This window comes from Homo sapiens, chromosome 3 (genome assembly GCF_000001405.40).
Source record: "Homo sapiens chromosome 3, GRCh38.p14 Primary Assembly".
Taxonomy (NCBI): domain Eukaryota; kingdom Metazoa; phylum Chordata; class Mammalia; order Primates; family Hominidae; genus Homo; species Homo sapiens.
In genome coordinates, this window is record NC_000003.12 from 119,866,732 (window position 1) to 119,890,447 (window position 23,716).

Genomic DNA, 23,716 nt, shown 5'->3' on the forward strand with positions numbered 1-23,716 from the left:
TGTGGGGGGGGACATAGAAAATGTTTATACAGTTATAAACTTTAAACATCAGTCTTCACAGTAGCAAGTCCAAGTTTTAAAAATTATTTCACCACAGTGTATGCAAAAAAATTTTTTTTGATTGTGCAATGGTGAGGCACAGTAAAGAAACATTTTAATTTTAGTTTATTATGTTCCAATGCCAGTGCGTTTATTAAAAAAATACAAAACCAAAAAAAGTTAAAATCAAAATGAAATCTAGAAGTAAAGTTCCCAAAGTAAAATGGTCTTCTATGACCTGGATTCATCATCCACAGACATGGCTGGGAGGGGGCATATTAGCCTGCTTTTAAAGTTTCAAGTTCCCAATATGCTACTTTTTTCTCTATTAATGTGTTCCAGTTACACAGTATAAACATTTTTTTGCTAAGTTATTAGTGATGAGAGGAAAGTAATAAATATATTTAAGTTATATTACTATAGATTTCAAGCCAGATACTTTCAATTTGTGTGAGCTAAGAAGGATCAGGCCACCGCGGATTATTCTCCATTTTGGATTGACTTCTCTGCTAAAAGATGTTTCTTTGCTGACATTCTCATTATCTTAGGACTCATCAGGAAATTGACATATCACCTCAGGAGTGCGGGTATTAACTTACTTTTTCTATTGTGGGCTTTGCCCGCTCATACCCTTGCACCCGGTACTTAGGAAAAATAAATAGAGAACATTTTTTCCTCTTTGGAAAAACTCTCTGAAAAAATAAATCCTACATCTTCCAGCACTACAAATTAAACACAGTTCCATCTGCAAATATGCCCAATTCACCCACCAAAAGCTAAACAAAATATATAAAATTAACAATACAACTAAGGGACAGTCACAGTTACAGGTGACAGGCATAGTAATGTATACCAACACCTAGGCACAACGGAGCCAAATATGCAAGGGAGGTAGCAGGGTCTATTATGTCTAGGTATTGAGAACAAAAAATGGCAGAACTCACCAGTATCTGTGAACTCCCCTGGCTATTCTAAGAGAATTTAACATTCTTTTAGGATAGTTTCCAGTGGGGGAATTAAATATTTTTCAAAAATAAATAATCCGCGGATTACTTTTAGTCTGCAGACTAAAATTTAGTACACAGATTAAAATCTGGCCCATCAGAATAAATTCTCTCATGAACTAAAACACAACCAGGTGGACAAAAATAGAAAACCAGACTGAAAGAACTGAGAGCACAAAATAAGACTCAACTGGGCCAACTAACAATTAGTACGCAGACTAAATATGGCCAGCGAAGTATGCAGCAAGGCCACAGAGATCCCAAAACACCCCTTTAAAAACAAAACCAAAAGTAAATAAATAAAACAGAACAAAATAAAACAAAGCAAAAAATAAGAAGAAGAAGAAAGAAAAGAAAAAGAGGAAGGAAAAAAGAAAGAAAAGAGAAAGGAAATACTGAAAAGAACCAAAACACTGACATGAACTTTTAAAGTGATTCAAATACTACCTCACCTATGCAGCAACTCATTTTCTTAAATTGAAACAAATATCAACTCCCATCACAAATACTAGCCCATAGAAGAAACTAACAGAAAAAAATCATTTTTTCAAAAAGAAAGTTTCTGCAGTATTGAACAAATGCAAAGAAGTCCTTAAATGAAGAATTATTCAAAATAAATTTGCATTTGGGTAACTAAAAAATGACAGAGGCAATTTCTGCCCTACATGTCCTAGAATAGACTTTGTCCTTCAAATTTCAACCTGGAGCTAAGTGTTGTGACTGAATCTCAAGCACTTTAAAAAGGCCATTTTTAAACAATCACATACACCATACTAAGACCTATGGTTAACATGGATCTCACAGCATCAGCTCTTAGCAACTCTATTGTATTATGTAGCCAATCAGAGCAATGTAAAAATGTCCATTTTAAATGGCTGTTGGCAGTGATAATTAATCTAACAGAACACAGAACAAGAGCCATGTCTGTTCCAAATAGCTATTCCTCATTAGTTTTTATTACTATAAATGTACAACACTCATCCTATATCCTGGTCATATACAAAATATAAGCATCCAGTTTTAAAAACTAATAAACCATGAATACTCCTAAAGAGCAACTCCAATATTGACTCTCAAGTAATCTATTAATCATCTGAAATTATATGCAATTTGTAAACCTAAACATAGGATTAAAAGTGAGACAATGCCATGGATTGTTGAATAGGTAATTATGTTAACTAAGAAAGAAATCAAGTCTACTTAAGTGCTCATATGTAGCACATAATTCAATAATTACTTAACAAATTAGTCTATACTATTTTTTAAAATATTCTCCCTATCTTTACTAAAAATACAAAAATTAGCCAGGTGTAGTGGTGGGTGCCTGTAATCCCAGCTACTCGGGAGGCTGAGGCAGGAGAATTGCTTGAACCCGGGAGGTGGAGGCTGCAGTGAGCCGAGGTCGTGCCACTGCACTCCAGCCTGGGCAACAGATCAAGATTCCATCTCAAAAAAAAAAAAAAAAAAAAAAACATATATTCTTTGGCAGTCTTTCACATGCTTTGCTACATTGATCTAATGATGCACTGACATACAAGGTAATCCAATTCACTTTAAGTACTATCAAAAATGATTACCAGAGGCTACTGAAAACAACTTTCAGAGTCCTCCTCCCAAGTAAAATTGCTATCTATGAAGTTGGCATCTAACAGGGTAGGATACACAAACTGAATTCAGCTCAAGTCTACTGCATAATTTTCTAAGCCTTTTCGTTAAGATACCAGTTCAGGTAAAGAAGGTTGAGCATAAGAAACACAAAGAATCCTTTCCTTAGCCATGACAAATCTAACATCCAGTGAATTTCAGCTGTACTAATTAAAAGCCTTATCGAGTTTTCCCAAGTTCTACTATAGGTAAGAAAAGTTATACAGTAAATCTTCATTTAATGTCATTGATAGGTTCTTGAAAACTGTGACTTTTAGTGAAACGTATAATAAAACCAAATGTTTTCCCTCATCAACGCTGAATGAACCAACATTATTTGAGGACCTATTGTGCATAACTTCACTTAAAGTTGCAGTTTCTAAGCACCTACTAACGATGTTAAATGACTGGCTGTATATATGTAGATATCAGCATTTAACTATGTAACATAATTTCTCTCCCTCACATCATGTGCTGATGAAATAGTACTACATGCCTACACAGGAGTGGGATTTGCCAAATGTCCGCTTATCCAATTTAATCTTTCATTGTTCACAAAACAATTATTACAGTCAGGTTGGCTCTCCTATGAATATAGAAATATTTTCTTTTCATTCAGCTCTCTCCACCTTGAGAGATATTCACCCAGGCTATAACAATTCCTAACCTTTTCTACACCTAGGCAAATCTTAAACCTCCCCTTCAACATCCCACCTCATGTATTATCCCTAAGTGGGGGTTCCTTTTTCCCTCCACCATCCTCACTGGAAGTCTGCCTTGTAACACCTACAGCCATGTGGAACACCTCTGAACACTTACAGCACAGAATTAAGTATACGGTTACATAGTATCTCACATTATTCAATACTTGCTTCAACTAAGCTTTTCAACTGTCAGCTTTTCAAGGACAAAGACTATATATTTTACTTCTTTTGCATGCTTTATGGTACCCAGCACAGCACTGGTTACATAGAAGATACAAGATTTAAAGAATAAATGATAAATTAAAAATAGAATTTTGTCTTCTTTTCAAATCCACCCCAACCTCATCCTTTGCCTCCCACAAGCAATCTGAAAATTATGTCTTACTTAGTATTCTTCCTTTTTCACATTATTCCTTTCACATTTGGATTAGCCACCCTAAAAGCTGGATTTTAATGTGGGTTTCCAGCAAACAAATAAAAATATATAGCCAGTAGAAATAAAAAAGTGAGGTCTACTAACATAGGAAAGTGGCTTTAGAAAGGGAGAGGAAGTGATTATTATAGCAATAATAAGGATGTGGGTAGAACTTTCAGTAGAGAACATACTATATGTATTTGTGAGGCAAGTGAGAATGGTCTAGGTAGAATGTTCAGGGCAGAGGGGGGTTGAATAATAATATAAAAATTGATTTACCATAAGCAATAGAACAAAACAGACAAGTGGCAAGCTTAGGAGCCAATAGAAATCCCCAACATGGTTTTATGCTTTCTGGAATACATGTGAATGAAATGAGTAATGCAGAGAGACCAGAAAAGGTAGATAGAATGGATGTGAAAGAAAACTTTGGCAGCAATTTTTGTTTTGTGCCCTCTAGGCCTCTCTGAAGGCATTTTAATAATACATTGAACAACGGTTAAAACAGGTAGGTTTACCAAGTTCTGAAAATTCTATTGAATGGCTCAGGGGAAAAACTGTAGCATTATGGACAAAGTCTTAAAAAGAAATAAGTACAGTGGGGCTTTTTGGTTCAGCTGTAAGCATAGAGAATAAGTAACTTTTTCAGTCAAAAATAATTCCTTTGAAAGCTGAAATGACCTGAGAATTCAATTTTCTGCTTACTCTGTTAGCCAGTTAGAAACACTAGTATTGATTCACTATGAAGCATATTGACAGTGTTTTAGGAAATCAAGTATGCAAGGATTAATTTTTGTGAATAATGCTTTCTGGGAGACTTACCAAATGACCTATGGTCATACAAAAGCTACAGACACTTTACTATTAAGTATTAAACTACCATATATGCCAACAACTTGGCAACAAATATTTTGAAGTAATTGGCATTCATATTAATACTATTATTATAAAAAAGCAATGAGGAATTGCTATAATATATATGGTATAATTTGGTAGGTACTATAGGAGTTATGTGGTAGGATAATCATAAAGAACTTAGACAATGAGAAAATATTTCATGGGAGAAGTGAGATTTGAGAACTTAAGAAAGGTTAAGAGTTGGTAAGCAGAGAAGAAAAAAAGAACATTCTAAGACAGTGGAAGGGGGAGTAGAGAGAGGGAAGGGAGACACTAGCAAGAGGCAGAAATGAATGTGGCTTCTCTGGGGAACAACTAGGAGACAATCTGACTAAACCAGAAAATCCAGCATGGCTGCATGGTCCCTTCAAAGTGAGCTACAAACTGGACAACACTCCAATACGTAGCCAACATATTAAATAGCACTAATGTAACTGTTAAGAGATCAGCAGGCCTTAGGATTGTAATCTACTTCCTTCTACTAACCAGTTATTACTTTATTCTTTTGTTACTCTGAAAGAATAAAACAGACATCTGTGTTACCTAACTGACCTCACAGGATTGTTTATTACTAGGATAGAGGAGAAATGCTTGTCATAAAGAAATTTAAACAAGGTAGCAGGATCAGGCACTCGAAAGTGGGCGGGAAGGCACCTCATACACCTACTATGATATAACCTTATTAAAAATCCCTAATCAACCCTAACTAGACACTAAACTTTCAAATTCATTGCCTAACAACATGCATTTAAGGATACAGGAAGCTGTAAAACTTGGGAAAGAGCCTGGGTTCAAGAACTAGATACCTCAAGAAGGTTGGGAATAGGACAAATACTAAATACTCTATTTTTCTGGAAAAGAAAGGCAGAAAAGATCAAGAACAGAGTGACTAAATAATCTGCCACCCAAATTGGGACCTTCCTGAGAGTGAAGAGGCAAGCAATTAATAATTACACTGGACAAGCAAAAACTGGCACATAAGATCACCCTTGTCATTATATGTATTTAACGCTAAATTTTCCTAAAGGCTATGAGGAATCAGAGAAGAATTTTAAATAGGAGTGACAGCATCACATGTGCTTTTTAAAAAAGCCAACTTTGACAGAAATGAGGAGGATGGATTAAAATGATGTGAAACCAAAGGATGGAAATCAGGAGGTAGGAGGTTGTTTTTAATAATTCTATGATATGATGGTGGCCTAAACTAAGGTCAGGGCAGTGGAGACAGAGAAGACAAATCAGAAAACTCCATTGGAGTGCTACATCCTTCACATTTATTCAAAACTAAAGTAATCCTTTATATGTATATTATGGCTGTATTTTCAAAATAATCCTGAGAAAAGACACAGCAGATAATCGCTATCTTACAAAAGAAAAAAGCTGAGGCATAAACATTAGGAGCAGTGTTTAAACTAGATTCTCACTCTGTATATAATAGCCCATCATTTAACCACACCTGCACATACTAAATGCAGAATTTAAATTTCTTCTCTTCTTCCAACCAATCTCTGTCTCTGCTTAATTCTCAATCTACTATTGCATCACTTCCTTTTCTTTCCATGTGTTTTTCTTCTTTGCAGTGTACAGCGTACACCAAGGCATAGGTCTTCATCCCCTCACCTCCAATAATAATCCTTGTTTCAGAATATTAGCACCTATTTCCTTTCCTACTAAAGCCACAAGTGCTTTATTAATGAATTATGTTGCACTGGCTATTGCTATTTATGTAATAGCCCAGGGCAACTTATTGGAGTTTTTAATTCTCAAGATTTCTGCCATACACCACACTGGGATCATCTCAGTGTTATTTTTCTGCTATTTCTTTTACACACCTGTATCCCCTTACCTCAATGTTTCCACAAAAGACATTTTCTCTTTTGGTCTTTATTTCTGTCTACTTTTTTTTTTTTTAGAACACCAGGTCCCAATCTTGGGGATATAGCTGCACAACACTGCAGCACAGGAAACCAGGGTTCACATGTCCACAGCTTCAGGAGATAGGACTAACAGAAGACAGCAACAAAGGTAAAGTGGTTCCTGTTTCCAGACTCCTGTTTACCTGCCCTCCAAGGGCAAAATGGTCTTCTCTTTGGAGGACATTCTATATGGTTTTTAAATGACTCAATTGGCTGCTTACCCTAAGAGCATTTCTCAAGTTGCTGTCCACTATCACAGTGGTAGGGAAAGGAGTCTGAGTTCCCTCTAGGAATTTTAAGTTTTGCATTTTAATTCTTATAATAACCTATTTAAAAAAACCAACACAAGCATATTCTCAATCATCTAGATGACAGAGAAAAACAATAAAATTTCTGCATCTGAATTTACTTTTTTGTTTACAATCCCAGTAACACCCACTCTAGTATGCACAAATGAGGAACCAACATAAGTGCACTTATTACATAATGCATGTGTATGAAGTGAAAACCAAATTATGTCAAAAAACACCAGACGAATGAAAGGTTCACAGTCCTTTTAATAGACAAAAAAGATGGGAGAACTGAGTCATTATTCTACACATGGTACAGGAATGGAAACCTAAATAAATGTGCTTTACATAGACGATTCAAGTTTGAAAAGCATTAGTATAAGATATAAAAACATCAAGAATTGAAGAGGGCAAAGGAAGATTTACAGCATACATATTTAGTACAGCTCTTTCATTAGCTGCATTTTAATTATAATCAACCATTCCTCACATTCTACTCTAGCTAATACTTGCGTTAGAGAGATATAATTCAGGGGGAAAATGCAGAATTTGACACACACTAAATACAGTGTCCCCTCCCTTTTATCTACAGGGGATATGTCCCCAAGACCCTCATGTGGATGCTGAGACTGCAAGTAGTACTAAACCCTACATATACTGTTTTTCTCTATACATACAGTGATAAAAGCTTACTTCATAAATTAGGCACAGTAAGAGGTTAACAACAATAACTAATAATAAAATAGAATAATTAGAATAATATCTATAATAAAATAATGTGAATGTAGTATCTCTCTTAAAATATCTTATTGTACTACATCACCGATTTCAGACAGAGGCTGACCAAATGTAACTGAAACCTTAGATAAAGGAGGACTAGTGGCAGTCTTGATAAAATAATAATAATAATAATGGAGGATGGGGACTGTTAAATAGGATCTCATGGACTCAATTTCAGCTTTATATTTGTCAGAAACTCTATAAGGAGGATAATATGTGATGAATACTTAGATTACACCAAAAAAAGAATTTTTCCCTTTCCTCATAAAAATAACATTATTATTAAAGAAAATATGAAAGTTTGAAAAGGTAGAACAAAGAAAATAAAATCATGCACTTTCTTCTTACCCAAACTACTGTTGGCATTTTGGAATATTTCCCTGTATTTATTTAATACACAGAATTCTCTTTGTTGTTTTTCTCTTAACATGGCTGAAGTCATAGTATACTACAAATCACTTACTATAAACAATTTAACTTGCAATAACTATAATGGACTCAAACTGTAATGCAGCCTCTAAATCCAAGTAGGCCACCTGAGATCTTCTGGGTTTAGAGCCAGGTGAGAGTCCCTAAATATCTTCTGACCCAGATTTAAAATAAGCCTTGAATACAAAGATCAAAGAACACTTTTGAATCTCAGACTACTTAGTGCTTACCATAAACTTTTAAAAAAGGGAGGCAAGATCGTGGTCTGTTGGCCAGGTTGTAGTAAAAGTTACAACCTATAATTCTGGCACTAAAATACTATTGAGGTCTTTGATTCTAAATAGGAAATAAATAATTAGTAACGAGAATTTTCTGAAGATAGATAATGAGATTATAAGAACTTGAAGAAAAAGTAACTGGAATCATAATATATCTGATTAAGAGAGAGAGAGAGAAAGAAACATACTTTGATTCTACAGAGGGTAAATTATTTCACCTATAGCCCTAAATGACTTCACCTCGAATTATAAAAGATCTATAACTAAATGAATTTAATTGTATATAAAATGAATTGTTATATGTACATTTTAAAATACAGTAAGTCTCTCCTTAAAATACGTATTATAAAGTCGATCATTGGTAACCCGTGACACACACACACACACACACACACACACACACACACACACACACACACAGAAGTTTAATCCCGGCTTTGTCACAAGCCATCCATGTAATCTTGGGTAAGTCACTTTGAATCTTTGGTCAGAGTTTCTGAACTTGTAAAATGAAGAAGCTAGAGATTCACTCTACTTATAAACCCTACTGAGAAATTCTATTTTTTTTCTGTTCATACTTAATCTCACAAATCAAACTAAGGTGAAAACACTTTTTAATAAAATCTCTTTTAAAATCATTCCAATTAAATACCAAAGGAAAAAAAAAAGTTCCCTGGTACATTAGCAACTATGCTGTTTAGAACTGGTTCTATCTAATGTTAAGGTTGGGTTTTTCCAAAGGCTAGTGACATCCAGTTAACATATCAATTGTTTTTAATGTATACTCCCAGCAAGATTACATTTGCTTTCTAATCTTGTTTCCAAAATGCCAGTAGGAAAGTAAACAAGAGAGGAAAAACACAAAATGCCATCTATAATAAGATATATGTTTTAACAGTTTAAAAGAATAAAGAAAATGTTTGAAATGTATGATATGCTATATGATATTAAACTATACACCTCTATGTAAATAAACTTCTGAATTTTAGGTTGTCAAAATTTTATATAAGATCCTACTCCTAAATCAAATTCTGTACTTTAATGATATAAGTACACTGCCCTTACCTTGCAAATAAAAAACCAGGCTAGAAACTATCTACAGGAAATCAATGAGGATGAAACTATATAAAGTCAATGAAACACTCAAGTACATCTATACAACTATCTTTACATGCAGAACTGCTTGTATTCATGCAACTATCTGATCTCAAAATAGTTTAAGAACAATGAGAAACCTGTTTTAGTTAACTACTGATTAATATACTTAAAAAAAAATCTAACTCACCTTAGTCCAAGGATGTGCCTTAATTTGAGGGAATTTAAATTCTGTGTAGTTTGGGTTCATTTCTCTGATTTGCTCCCTTGTTGGAGTTCCCAGGACCTAGAAAGAAAGCAAGTTATTGCCATCTTTTCCTATATATTTACAAATTTAGTCTCCATGTTTTCAGGCATTGGATTCACTGAAAAAAGGAATTCCCAAGTTAAATAAAATACGTAACTCATTAAATAGAGCAGTGCCATGATTTGAATATGTCCCCCAAAGCTCATGTGTTGGAAACTTAATACCCAATTCAACAGTGTTGAGAGGTGGGATGTTTAAATGGTAATTAGGTAATGGCTCTGCCCTTGTGAATGGACTCATGTCATTAAAGTGGAAGCAGGATTGTTATTTCAAGAGCAGGCTGGTTAGAAATGTAAGTTTGGCTCCCTCTCACTCTTGCCTTGTCTTGACTTTCTGCCTTCCAATATGAGATGATACAGCACGAAGGCCATCACCAGATGTGGGCCCTTTGACATTGGACTTTCCAGTCTCTAGAACAGTGAACCAAGTAAATTTCTATTGTTTATATATTATCCAGTCTTTGGTATTCTGTTATAGTAGCACAAAACAGACAAAGGCAAACAAACTTTGTGAAAGCCTTTTATCTGTAGCTGACTACAGATTCCATGCTGTATTACCATAGACAGACTTCTATGATAACAATAATGTTAAATTTGGGTCATAAAAAAGATTACCATACTCAAAAATATTCAAGTAAAAATCAGATATCTTTATCTAGAAAAACTATCTATTGCAATAATCACATCTGAGAGTATTTTTTCTTCACTTAGTTCAGTATAGCCAAAGATTATACAGCTGTCCCTTGGTATTCAGATTGTTTCAGGAGCCCCCGAGGATACCAAAATCAAGAGATGTTCGAGTCCCTTATATAAAATGGCATAATAGTTGCATATAACCTTACATCCTCCTATACTTTAAATCATCTTTAGGTTATTATAATACTTAACATAAATGCTATATAAATAGTTGTATTGTTTTTAAGTTGTATATTATTCTTCATTAATGTATTTTTAAATTGTTATTTTCTGAATATTTTTGATCTGCAGTCGGTTGATTCTGCAGATGCGGAACCTGTAGATATGGAGGGCCAATTGTATTATCGATATATCAGGCAAAGTTTATTTTAAAACCGTCAACAATTCATTCAGTCGTTGAATAGTGTCCCTTGTATACAAGGAACTATGTTAGGACCTTTGGAGGATACAAAGAACAAGAGATTTCCTGCTACCATAAACTTACATATTTGTATGTCAAAAAAGTATAATTACAGTACACAACAAAAATGTATTGAGCACTTCATTGTCTCTAGAGCTATACTAGGTACTGAACAAAAGAAAGTACATGGACCTGGCTGTACAAGATGGATGACAGGAAGAAACATTAAATGCTAAAAATTGAGGACTTTGAAGAGAAATACCACATATTACTCATCTTTATAAGACCGTGTATAAATCAAATTTATTGAAATAAAATATTAAACCAGTTACAGTTCAAGAATAACTGCACAGAAGTAGAAGAATGTAATGGTAAGTACTAGATTTGTGGTGGCAACCAGTGAATAATCAGGCATAATTCTGTAACCATTCAGGGCAAAGTGAGAATTTGTTATGTTTTTGTTGTTGGTTCTAATTCTCTAGACACTGCTAAAACTTTCAGAACTTCATTCAAATTTTAAAAAGTTTGTTCTTTAAAAGACACTCTTAAGAAAATGAAAAGGCTAGTCACGAACTTTGCAGAATATATTTGCAAAATATATTCTGCAAAGGGCTTGTATTTACAATATATAAAGAACTCTTATAATTCAAAAATAAGACAAACCAATACAAATCAGTAAAAGATATGTACAGACACTTCACCAAGGATGACAGAGAGATGGCAAATAAGCACAAGAAAAGATGCTTGGCATCATTAATCATTAGGGAAATGCTAATTAAAACAAGATACCACCATATACCCAATAAGAAGGCTAAAATTAAAGACTATGTATAACAAATCTTGGCAAGGATGTACAGCAACTGAAGCTCTCACCATTGATGGTGGAAATGTGAAATGGTATATAGCACCTTGGAAAACAGTTTGGAAGTTTCTTAAAAGTTAAACATATACATATCATACAACCCATCATTCTCACTCCTAGGTACATACCCAAGAGAAATGAATGCACATGTTCATACAAAGACTTGTATACAAATATGCATAGCATATTTTTTTTAACTGCTAAACAGTAGAAACAAACCAAAATGGCATCATCAAGTAAATAAATGGTACATAGCCATACAGTAAAACATTACTCAGTAATTTAAAAAGAACAACATGGATGAATCTAAAAATAATTAAGCTGAGTGAGAGAAGCCAGACCAAAAAGAGTACCTAAAGTATAATCACATTCATATGGAATTCTAGTAAATTTTCTATCTATAGTGACAGAAGATCTATAGTTTTGAGAAGCAAGATTACAAAGGGACACTAGGAAACTACTGGGATTATGAATGTTCATTATCTTGGTTTCACGGGTGTAAGCGTATGGAAAAACTTATCAAGTTGAATACTTTAAATATGTGCAGTTTTAAAAAATATTTATTTTTGTGGCTACATAGTAGGTGTATGTATCTGTGGAATATATGAGACACTCTGATATAGGCATACAATGTGTAATAATCACATCAGGGTAAATGTGGTATCCATCACCTCAAGCATTTGTCCTTTGTTTATTTATATTTATTTATTTAGAGACGGAGTCTCACACTGTTGCCCAGGCTGGAGTGCAGTGGCGTGATCTCAGCTCACTGCAAGCTCCGGCTCCTGGGCTCACACCATTCTCCTGCCTCAGCCTCCCGAGTAGCTGGGACTACAGGTGCCCACCACCACGCCTGGCTAATTTTTTCTATTTTTTAGTAGAGATGGGGTTTCACAGTGGTAGCCAGGATGGTCTTGATCTCCTGACCTCGTGATTTACCCACTTCAGCCTCCCAAAGTGTTGGGATTACAGGTGTGAGCCATTGCGCACAGCCTATCTTTTGTTTTATAAACAATCCAATTATACTCTTTTAGGTATTTTTCGATATTTAATTAAATTATTATTGAGTATAGTCACCCTGTTGTGCTATGAAATACTAGATATTATTCATTCTTTCTATTGTTTTGTACCCATTAACCATCCCTACTTCCCCAGCAACTGCCCTTCCCAGCCTCTGCTAACCATCATTCTACTCCCTATCTCCATGAGTTCAATTGTTTTAATTTTTAGCTCTCACAAATAACTGAGAATATGCGAAGTTTGTCTGTGTCTGGCTTAACACAACGACTTCCGGTGCCATCTATGTTGTTGCATATAACAGGATCTCATTCTTTATGAGTATATATATCACATTTTCTTTATCCATTCATGAAGTGTCCATGCTGATGAACACTTAGGTTGCTTCCAAATCTTGGCTATTGTGAAGAGTGCTGCAATAAACATAGGAGTGCAGATACCTGTTCAATATACTGATTTCCTTTCTTTTGGGTATATACCTAGCAGTGTGATTGCTAGATGGTAGGCAGCTCTATTTTTAGTTTTTTTAGGAGCCTCCAAACTGTTCTCCATGGAAGCAGTACTAACTTACATCGCCACCAGCAACATAACAAGGATTCTGTTTTCTCCACATCCTTGTCAGCATTTGATACTGCCTGTCATTTAGATAAAAGCCATTTTATCTGGGGTGAGATGATATCTCATTGTAGTTTTGATTTGCATTTCTCTGATGATCAATGATGTTGAGCACCTCTCATATACCTGTTTGCCATCTGTATGTATCCTTTTGAATAATGTCTATTCAGATCTTTTGTCCATTTCAAAATCAGATTATTAGATATTTTTCCTATAAAGTTGTTGGAGCTTCTTATATATTCTGGTTATTAAGCTCTTGTCAAATATTTTCTCCCATTTTGTGAATTGTCTCTTCAGTCTGTTAACTGTTTCCTTTGCTGTGCAGAAGCTTTTTATCTTGATGTGGTCCCTATGTGTAGTTTCTTGTATGCCAATTACCCCTGTAATAAAAACTTTCAGAAATTATTTAACTATTAGAATACATAAAGTTTGGGTAAGATAGATGGAAGGATATTCTGAGCTACAGAATTATTCACTGATATAAATCAAAAAGGAATCTAGTTAAAAATAAACCGACCTTTAACTGTGTATAAGGTAATTTCTGAGCAAACTCCTAATGTTATTGGAAAGAAAATAAAAAGGTGACTGTAAAAATAATCTAAATTATTAACACTTATTCTAACCCCTATTTCTAACATTGTTCTGGGGATATGTGCATGTGTATGTGTATACATGTACCTGGTGAGAGGGTGAGGAGTGAAGAATGAGGGAGTAGTACTAATAAGCTTATCAACAATTCCGTCACATGCAACTCTATTGGATTCTTTTGAGAGCTGAAAACAAACAACAGCGGCAATGACATGAATAAATGAGTGTTTATAAGTGTATACCTTCAGTGACCCTACAACTTACTGATTTCTATTTCAAGCTATATACCCTAACAGAGAAATTCTTATACCTCTAAAGCAACATTGTTCATAATAATAAAATACTGCCGATAAAAGCAAAAATCCAACAGTAGAATTAACAAATAAATTGTGGCATAGTCATACAATAGCATACTAACTAGCAATGAAGATGACTAAACCAGAGCTACACATACCTTTATGGATGAATCTCACACAGTGGTGAGCTTTTACTCAACAATGAATGCACACAACATGACTGCCTTAAAGTTCAAAATCAGACAACACTATAGTTTACATAGTAAAACTGTGTAAAAATAAATAAAAAACATAAGTATATTCATCATTAAAATCAAGTACAGATTATCCAGTTTAACAAAGAGGATGTGGAAAAGGGGGCTGTGACTGGGATGGGGCAAAAGTAATTCTTCTAGCTCTAATTCTTAATATGAGTTGTAGTTACATGAATATTTACTATTGTACTTAAAACAATATATTTGCATATACTTTTTCATTTTGATATATTTCGAAATAACCAAAATGACACTTCAGAAATGCCCACTCTTGAATCAGTATTTGTTGTACAGCCATCCTCTACATATTCAGTACTTTGCTAACATAAGACACAGTACTAACTCTTGTGATGTCCATTAGTAAATGTATCCATTTACTGTGTGAACAGAAATCACATGGACTTCTCTTCTTAAGCATTCGGCTAACTTTCATAGAGGTTATGGGGGATAATTCAAGAGTTACTGATATGGTTTGGCTATGCCCCCACCCAAATCTCATTTTGAATTGTAGCTCCCCTATTTCCCTCATGTCATGGGAGGGACCCAGTGGGAGATAACTGAATCACGGCAGTAGTTTGTCCCATGCTGTTCTCATTATAGTGAATAAGTCTCACAAGATCTGATGGTTTTATAAAGGGGAGTTTCCCTGCACAAGACAAGCTCTCGTCTCTTGACTGCCGCCATCCATGTAATATATGACTTTGCTCCTCCTTGCCTTCTGCCATGATTGTGAGGCCTTCCCAGGCATGTGGAACTGTAAGTCAATTAAACCTCTTTCCTTATTAAATTATGCAGTCTGGGGTATATCTTTATCAGCAGTGTGAAAACGGACTAATACAGTTACAATGTATAATGTAAAAGTCAGGATGTTCCCTGAAATGAAAGTTTTACAATTCTTGTTTTTTTTTTTTACTTATAACCTAAGAATATTCCTAATAGAAGCAAATCTGTGAAATACACAATAAAACAGTTGAGAAACATATGCTTATATACACGGTATGCTTAACATATAAACTTTTAATAATTTATTTAAGGTATACCATGTGTGTGTACTCACTCTCACATCCTTCTCCCTAAATTCACTGTCTCACAGCCACTTAGATCTAAACATTTTACCTAATATTATGTTAAGGAAAATTTCAAACAAAAAAGTTGTGAAAGTTTTACAGTGAACACCAACCCACTATATCCACTATCCATATTCTCCAACTAACATTTTACTATATTTGGTTCATCACATACACAACCCTCTATCCACACATCAATCCACCTATTTTTTGATGCATTTCAAAATAAGTTGCAGGTATCAGTACACATCAGCATGCATATAATTAAGGTTTGATATTTACAACTTTTTATGTAAGTATGTTTTTTACATACCTTGAATCCTCCTTTAATATATACCAGAAAATGCACGTAGAAAATCTTTACCACAATGGGAAATAATCTGCTTTGATGAATAGTGATGATATTTAAAAAGTATTTTTTTTCTTCTGCAACTCATTCCTTTATAAAGATTAATACACTTTTACCATCAGTTTTGCTGTTGATTTGCATTTATTTCACCTGGGTTCCCCACTGGTTAAAAAAAGGTTTCTTTATTATATTTACAATCAGTGGTCAGAGTTTTAACTAGCTATATTCTTTACCTTCAAAATATAGTTATCAGTGACTGTTAAGAGGCTTTAACTACCAACCTGTAAATAGAATTGTTGGTGTATTCACTATAAATTATTTTAAAAAGCAATTAACTAAAAAAAGGTCTGTCAGCACAAAATGGCAAAGAAAATCCTATTCATCCATTTACCATCACATGACTGAATCACGAAGGCTATTACATGGGAAACAGAGATCCTAACATTACAGTATGTTCCACGTTTAATTCAACTACTATCATTTTTCTAGTCTTTTTCTTACTGTATTTTAAATCTTAACACCAGGTTCTCCTTAGGGTGGCTGACAGTGGGATTTACAACATATTAAAAAATACTAAAAATTCAAAAAGCTCTCAAATTTGAAACACTGAAGAATATTTTATTATGACAAGGTCCTCACAATATAGGAAAAAAAGCACTTATTTCTGTTGGTGACTTCTAATGATAAACCAATTAAAACAAAACATTAGGGAGCAATTTAAAAATGCCTACTATCCTTAGACGTGATCATGAATGGTCCCCAAAAAAATTATTAAAAAAAAGAGGAAACTAGATGAGAGATTTTCTAGTTCAGGGGTCAGCAAATGTTTTCTGGAAAGGGCCAGACAGTAAATATTTAAGGCTTGTGGGACACAAAGTCTCTGTCACTACTCAACTCTGCAACATGAAAACAACCACAAACAAAAGTTTATTTACAAAAATGGGTAGAAGACTGTGTTTGGCCCCTGGACCCTACTGTGTTGACCCTTGATCTAGTACAAACATTTTTAAACATGAGAAAAACAGACCCAGAAGGAGTACCTTTTCAGAGGTCATAACTAGAAACAGAGCTAGAAAGTAATTTAAATCTTATCAGTGGTAAACAAATTTTAGGAGGTGGCATCAAAGAATCTGGTTATTGAATGTGGCTGGAAGGTAAACAATTTCAGTAGTTGTGAAAAATCTTGATGGTATTAGGCATGAAGGAGTAGATCAGAAGAGAAAATAATATTTGAGACCAGACATTCAGGAAGAACCAGAAGGAGATCTCCACCAAGTGGTGAACATTAGATATATTACTTAGAAGAGAGCTTGAGGCTAAAAGAACTGCTTTGGTAGTACCTGCGGTATAAGTGCTAGGTGGCTGTGACAGTGTATAACAGGCAAAGCAGACAAAGAAGAGTGCTAAAGATGGGCATACAAATATACAGAAAAAAGAGAAATTGAAACAGAAGGCTGAGTTAGAAGTACAAGGAGTTGGGTGAGGTCCCATAAGACAGTGACACCATGGGGGCAAAGGAAGGCGAACACTTAAACGACAGAGAAGTATCTTATGACACAATGAACCCAGGCAAAAAATACAGCCCAAAAGGTGTTCACTGCAGGTGGCCACTAAGGTTTCCTTTCTGATCTTGCTGAGGTCACGGGAAGAGCAAGCCGACCATAATCACCTGACATGAGTTTAGTGGAATTAAGTTTTCCTTTCAAAGTACTGCCAGTGAGAGAGAGAGGAGAGAACAAAGAACAAATATTTATTAAGCACATAGCATGTAAGAGCAGTGTGCTAGACACATCAATTTTCTTTTCTCATTTGAATTTTACAGATACAATATTATCCTCTTTTACATGTGAAAAACCTAAGGCTGACAGAAGTCTCAAGGTTACAATTTGTCAGTGGTAGATAGGGATACAAATGCATGTGTCACTGACTCCCTAAAATGGTCTATCCAATGTTAAGGGCAGAAAACAAGGAAGAGTTTTTACAAAATAACATTTAAAAAGTCATTTTCTTAAACTACAGTGATTATACCATAAAAAAGAAACATGAATCCTTTTGAGTTGTATAAAATATATAAAGGTTTTGTAAGATCACGAGGTTATAAACAAGTTTCAAAAGTTAAATAGACTTTTTGGCAACTTAAAAAAAACCCTGATTTAAATAAAATCTACCCCTATCATGGTAATTCAACTTAATAAAATGAACATCAACATTATACCGAATGGGCAAAAACTGGAAGCATTCTCCTTGAGAAGTGGAACAAGACAAGGATGCCCACTCACCACTCCTATTCAACATAGTACCAGAAGTGCTAGCCAGAGCAATCAGGCAGGAGAAAAAAATAAATGGCATCCAAATAGAAAAATAAGTAGTTAAACTATTTTCTTTGCAGATGATATGATTCTATACCTAGAAAGCCCTAAAGACAAAGGTTCCTGCCAAAAGGTTCCTGGAACTGATAAATGCCTTCAGTAGTTTCAGGATAAAAAATCAACAAATGAATAAGTAGCATTTCTATACACCAATAATGTTCAAGCTGAGAGCCCAATCAACAACACAATCCTATTTACAATAGCCACAAATAAAATAAAATAAAATAAAATAAAATAAAATAAAATAAAATACCTAGGAATACCTCTAACTGAGAAGGTGAAAGATCTCTACAGGGAGAACTACAAAACACTGCTAAGAGAAATCACAGATGACACAAATGGAAAAGCATTCCATGCTCATGGATTGGAAGAATCAGTACTGTTAAAACGGCCATACTGCCCAAAGCATTCTACAGATTCAATGCTATTCCTATCAAACTACCAATGTCATTTTTCATGCTATTCCTATCGAACTACCAATGTCATTTTCCACAGAACTAGAAGAAACTACTCTAAAATTCATATGGAACCAAAAAAGAGCCCATATAGCCAAAGCAATCCTAAGCAAAAAGGACAAAGCCAGAGGCATCACATTACCTGACGTCAAACTGTACTATAAGGCTACATTAATCAAAACAGCATCATATTGGCACAAAAACAGATTCATAGACCAATGGAACAGAACAGAGAACCCAGAAATAAAGCCACACACAGCCATCTGATCTTCGTCACAGTCGACAAAAATAAGCAATGGGGAAAGGATTCCCTATTCAATAAATGGTGCTGGGATAACTGGCTAACCACATGCTAAAGAATGAAACTGGACCCCTATCTTTCACCATATACAAAAAGTGACTCAAGATGGACTAAAGATTTAAATATAAGACCTCAAACTATAAAAATTCTACAAGAAAACCTAGGAAACACTATTCTGGCCATTGGCCTTGAGAAATAATCTATGACTAAGTCCTCAAAAGCAACTGCAATAAAAATAAAAATTGGTGAGAACTAATTAAAGAGTTTCTGCATAGCAAAAACAACTATCAGCAGAATAAACAGACAACTTACAGAATTGGAGAAAACAGACACAAACTACACAACTGACAGAGGTCTCATATCCAGAATCTATAAGAAATTTAAAACAAATCAACAAGCAAAAAACAAATAACCCCATTAAAAAATGGGCAGAACACGTGAACAGAAACTTCTCTAAAGAAGAGATGTAAGTGGCCAACAAACATGAAAAAAATGCTTCACATCACTAATCATCAGAGAAATGCAAGTCAAAACCACAATGAGATATCATCTCACATCAGTCACAATGGCTAATTAAAAAGTAAAAAAACAACAGATGCTGGTGAGGCTGCAGAGAAAAGGGAACACTTATATGCTATTGGTGGGAATGTAAATTAGTCCAGCCACTGTAGAAAGCAGTTTAGAGATTTCTCAAATAACTTGCTTGACCCAGCAATGCCATTACTGGGTATATATCCAAAAGAAAAATTGTTCTACCAAAAAGATACAACCATTTGCATGTTCACCACAGCATTCTTCACAATAACAAAGACATGGAATCAACCTAGATGCCCATCAACAGTGGACTAGATAAAGAAAATGTGGTACATATACACCATAGAATACCATGCAGCCATAAAAAAAATTACGTCCTTTGCAACAACATAGATGCTGCTGGAAGCCATTATCTTAAGCAAATTACTGCAAGAATAGAAAAGCAAATACTGCATGTTCTCACTTATAAGTGGGAGCTAAACACTGGGTAATCATGGACATAAAGACGGCAATAATACAAACTGAGGACAACCAGAGCAGGAAAGAAGGCTGCAAAACTAACCACTGGGTACTATGCTCAGTACCTGGGTGAAAAGATCATTCATACCTCAAACCTCAGCATCACCCAATACACCCAGGTAACAAACTTGCACATGTACCCCTGAATCTAAAATAAAAGTTGGAAAAAAATATTTTAAACTGTTAATAACAGAGGTCTTTAGCAACAGAAGAATACTATGAAGAAACAGTCATCTAACTGGCTAAACAAGATAAAATTGAGTATAAAAAATCTAAAACTTATTTTAAAATGCTTTGTGAAATATACTTAATAGAATGCCATGCAAAGGCTTGCATGGTATTATTATTTTTTTAAAAGGCCATTATAGACTTCTGCATCTAGCTGTGATGAAATAACGAACACTGAAACTGCCCTCCAGGTGTAAACAACTAAGAAACTGGCTGACAAACAAAATTCAACATTTTTAAAGAAGTAGGAAAATATAAGAAGAGAAAAAATCAAAAGTCAGTCAACAGACACAGATCCAGAAATGACAGAGAAGACAGAATTGGCACATAAGGACTTTAAAATAGCTATTATAACAAGGAGAGAAATAGAAGATATAAAAAAGAACCAAATGGAAATTGTACAGTTAAAAAATACAGTATGTGAAATTAAAACTTCACAGGAGAGGATTAACAGGTTAGACACAGGGAAGAAACTCAATCACTGAATTAAAAAAATAGCAATAGAAACTATCAAAGCTGAAGCATGGAGGGAAAAAACATGTACACATGTGACTTGAGTCTGATGGTGGGAAGTATGGGGTGGGAAGTAGGGCAGATGCAGAAAAACTATTTGAAGAAACATTACCAAAACTTACCCAAATTTTATAAAAACCATGATTATCCCACAAACACAAGAAGTTCAATGAACCTTAATGAGGACAAATACAAAGAATACTATAAAAACTCATAATCAACTGATAAAAGCCACTCACAAAGTGAAAATCTTCAAGAATGCCAGAAACACATTATAGACAGGGTATATACAGGGTATCAACAGTTGACTTCTTAACAGAAACAATGAAAGCCAGAAGAAAATAGAGATCTCTCCAAAAACTGAAGGAAAAATAAACCCTGGAAACCAAGGGAAACCAATTTCTGCATCAAGTGAAAATATCCTTCAAAATACATTTTTAGGCAAACAAAAGCTAACCAAGTTTGTCACCAGCAGATCTTCACCACAAAAAAGTAGTTCAGGATTAAAGAAAGACTTCTGAAATGGGCATTCTGATCTACACAAAGGAATAGAGAGCACCAAAAATGGTAAATATGTGGTTAAATGTATGATATTTCCCCCTCATTAAAAAATTCCTCTTGAAGAAATTGTTTAAAGCAAAGTAACAACTGTTGCGGGAAGTCAGGGACCCTGAACACAGGGACCAGCTGGAGCCACGGCAGAGGAACATAAATTGTGAAGATTTCATTTTAATATGGACATTTATCAGTTCCCAAATAATACTCTTATAATTTCTTAAGCCTGTCTTTACTTCAATCTCTGAACATAAATTGTGAAGATTTCATTTTAATATGGACATTTATCAGTTCCCCAAATTAACAGTTCTGTAATTTCTTATGCCTGTCTTTTTTTTACTTTAATCTCTTAATCCTGTTATCTTCATAAGCTGAGGATGTACGTCACCTCAGGCCCACTATTGTGTTAACTGTACAAATTGACTGTAAAGCACGTGTGTTTGAACAATATGAAATCGGTGCACCTTGAAAAAGAACAGAATAACAGCAATTTTCAGGGAACTAGGGAAGACAACCATAAGGTCTGACTGCCTGCAGGGTTGGGCAAAATAGAGCCATATTTTTCTTCTTGCAGAGAGCCTATAAATGGATGTGCAAATAGGGAAGATATCACTAAATTCTTTTCCTAGCAAGGATTAATACTCTGGGAAAGAAATGCATTCCTTGGGGGAGGTCTATAAACGGCTGCTCTGGGAGTGTCTGTCTTATGCCATAGAGATAAGGACTGAAATCCGCCCTGGTCTCCTGCAGTACCCTCAGGCTTAGCAGGGTGGGGAAAAATCCCGCCCTGGTAAATTTGAGGTCAGACCAGTTCTCTGCTCTCAAACCCTGCTTTCTGTTAAGATGTTTATCAAGACAATACGTGCACTGCAGAACATAGACCCTTATCAAAAGTTCTGCCTTTTGTCCTTTGTCCTGTTTCCTCACAAGCATGTGATCTTTGTTCTGCCTTTTGCCCTATGAAACATGTGATCTTGGGACCTACTCCCTGTTCTTGCATCCCCTCCCCTTTTGAAATCCTTAATAAAACTTGCTGGTTTTGCAGCTCAGGTGGGCATCACGGTTCTACTGATATGTGATGTCACCCCCGGAGGCCGAGCTGTAAAATTCCTCTCTTTGTACTCTTTCTCTTTATTTCTCAGCCAGCCGACACTCATGGAAAATAGAAAAAACCTATGTTGAAATATTAGGGGCGGGTTCCCCCTATAAACAACAAATATTGTAAGGATTATAACATGTAGAATTAAAAAGTATGAAAACTATAGCACAAAGAACAGGAAGGGGAATGGAAATACTGTCACACGGTTCTTGTTTTCTATATGACATGGTACATTACTACTTGAAGACTGACTGTAATATATTGATGCATATTTTAAATCCTAGACCAACCTCTAAAAATGCAACAAGGAGGTATAGCTTAAAAGCCAATAGAAAAAATAAAAACCACTGATTTAATCCATAGGTGGCAGTAAAAGAGGGGGAAAAACAGAGCAAAGGAAAGATGGGATGAAAGGAAAACAAATACGAAGGTGCAAAACTTAAACTCAACCACAGTGATAATTACACTGAATGTAAATAGTCTAAGTACTTCAATTACAAAGGCAGAAATTGTCAAACTCAATTAAAAAACACCTAACTATATGTCTGTAAGAAATGCACTTTAAATTAAAACACATAGAGTAAAAGTAAAAGAATGCAAGAAGTTATACCATGCAAAATCATAAGAAAGATAGAGTGCCTATATTAATATTAGAAAATGAAGACTTCAGGATAAGAAAATTAAACAAAAATAAAGAGGGGCATTTCCTAATGATAAAAGTCATTTTAAGACTAAATCTAAAATTATTGAGAATACCATGTGTTGATGAGAATGTGAAGCACTGGAATTCTGATGTGTTGTTGGTGGGAGTGTAAAATAGTAAAACTGCTTTGGAAAATAGTTTGGTAACCATACACTTACCATATGATCAGCAATTTCAGCCCTACTTTTTTATTCAAGAGAAATATAAACATATGTCTGCAAAAACACCTGTAAACAAACATTCATAGGAGCTTTACTCATAATAACCAAAACCCCAAAACAAGTCAAATGTCCATTCATAGGTGAATGGATAAAGAAATTGTGGTATACTCATAAAACAGAATACAACTTAGCATAAAAAGGAATAAACAGGTGATACAGGCAGCAACACTGACGAATCTCAAAAACATGGTACTGAGCAAAAAAAGCCAGATACAAAAGAAATATATGATTTCGTTTATGAAATTCTAGAATAGGCATCTGTAGTGACAGAAAATAGA

The 23,716-nt window shown here is 34.7% G+C and overlaps 1 protein-coding gene across 4 annotated transcripts in view; it reads right to left on the minus strand.

Annotated features, from left to right (window-relative positions):
- Positions 1–23,716, minus strand: part of GSK3B (glycogen synthase kinase 3 beta) — a 273,127-nt gene that overhangs the window by 45,411 nt on the left and 204,000 nt on the right. For all 4 annotated transcript variants that reach the window (NM_001354596.2, NM_001146156.2, XM_006713610.4 and 1 more), the window contains exon 8: positions 9,682–9,777. In NM_001354596.2, coding sequence (NP_001341525.1) covers positions 9,682–9,777 — 96 coding nt within the window. The remainder of the gene's footprint in view (positions 1–9,681; positions 9,778–23,716) is intronic.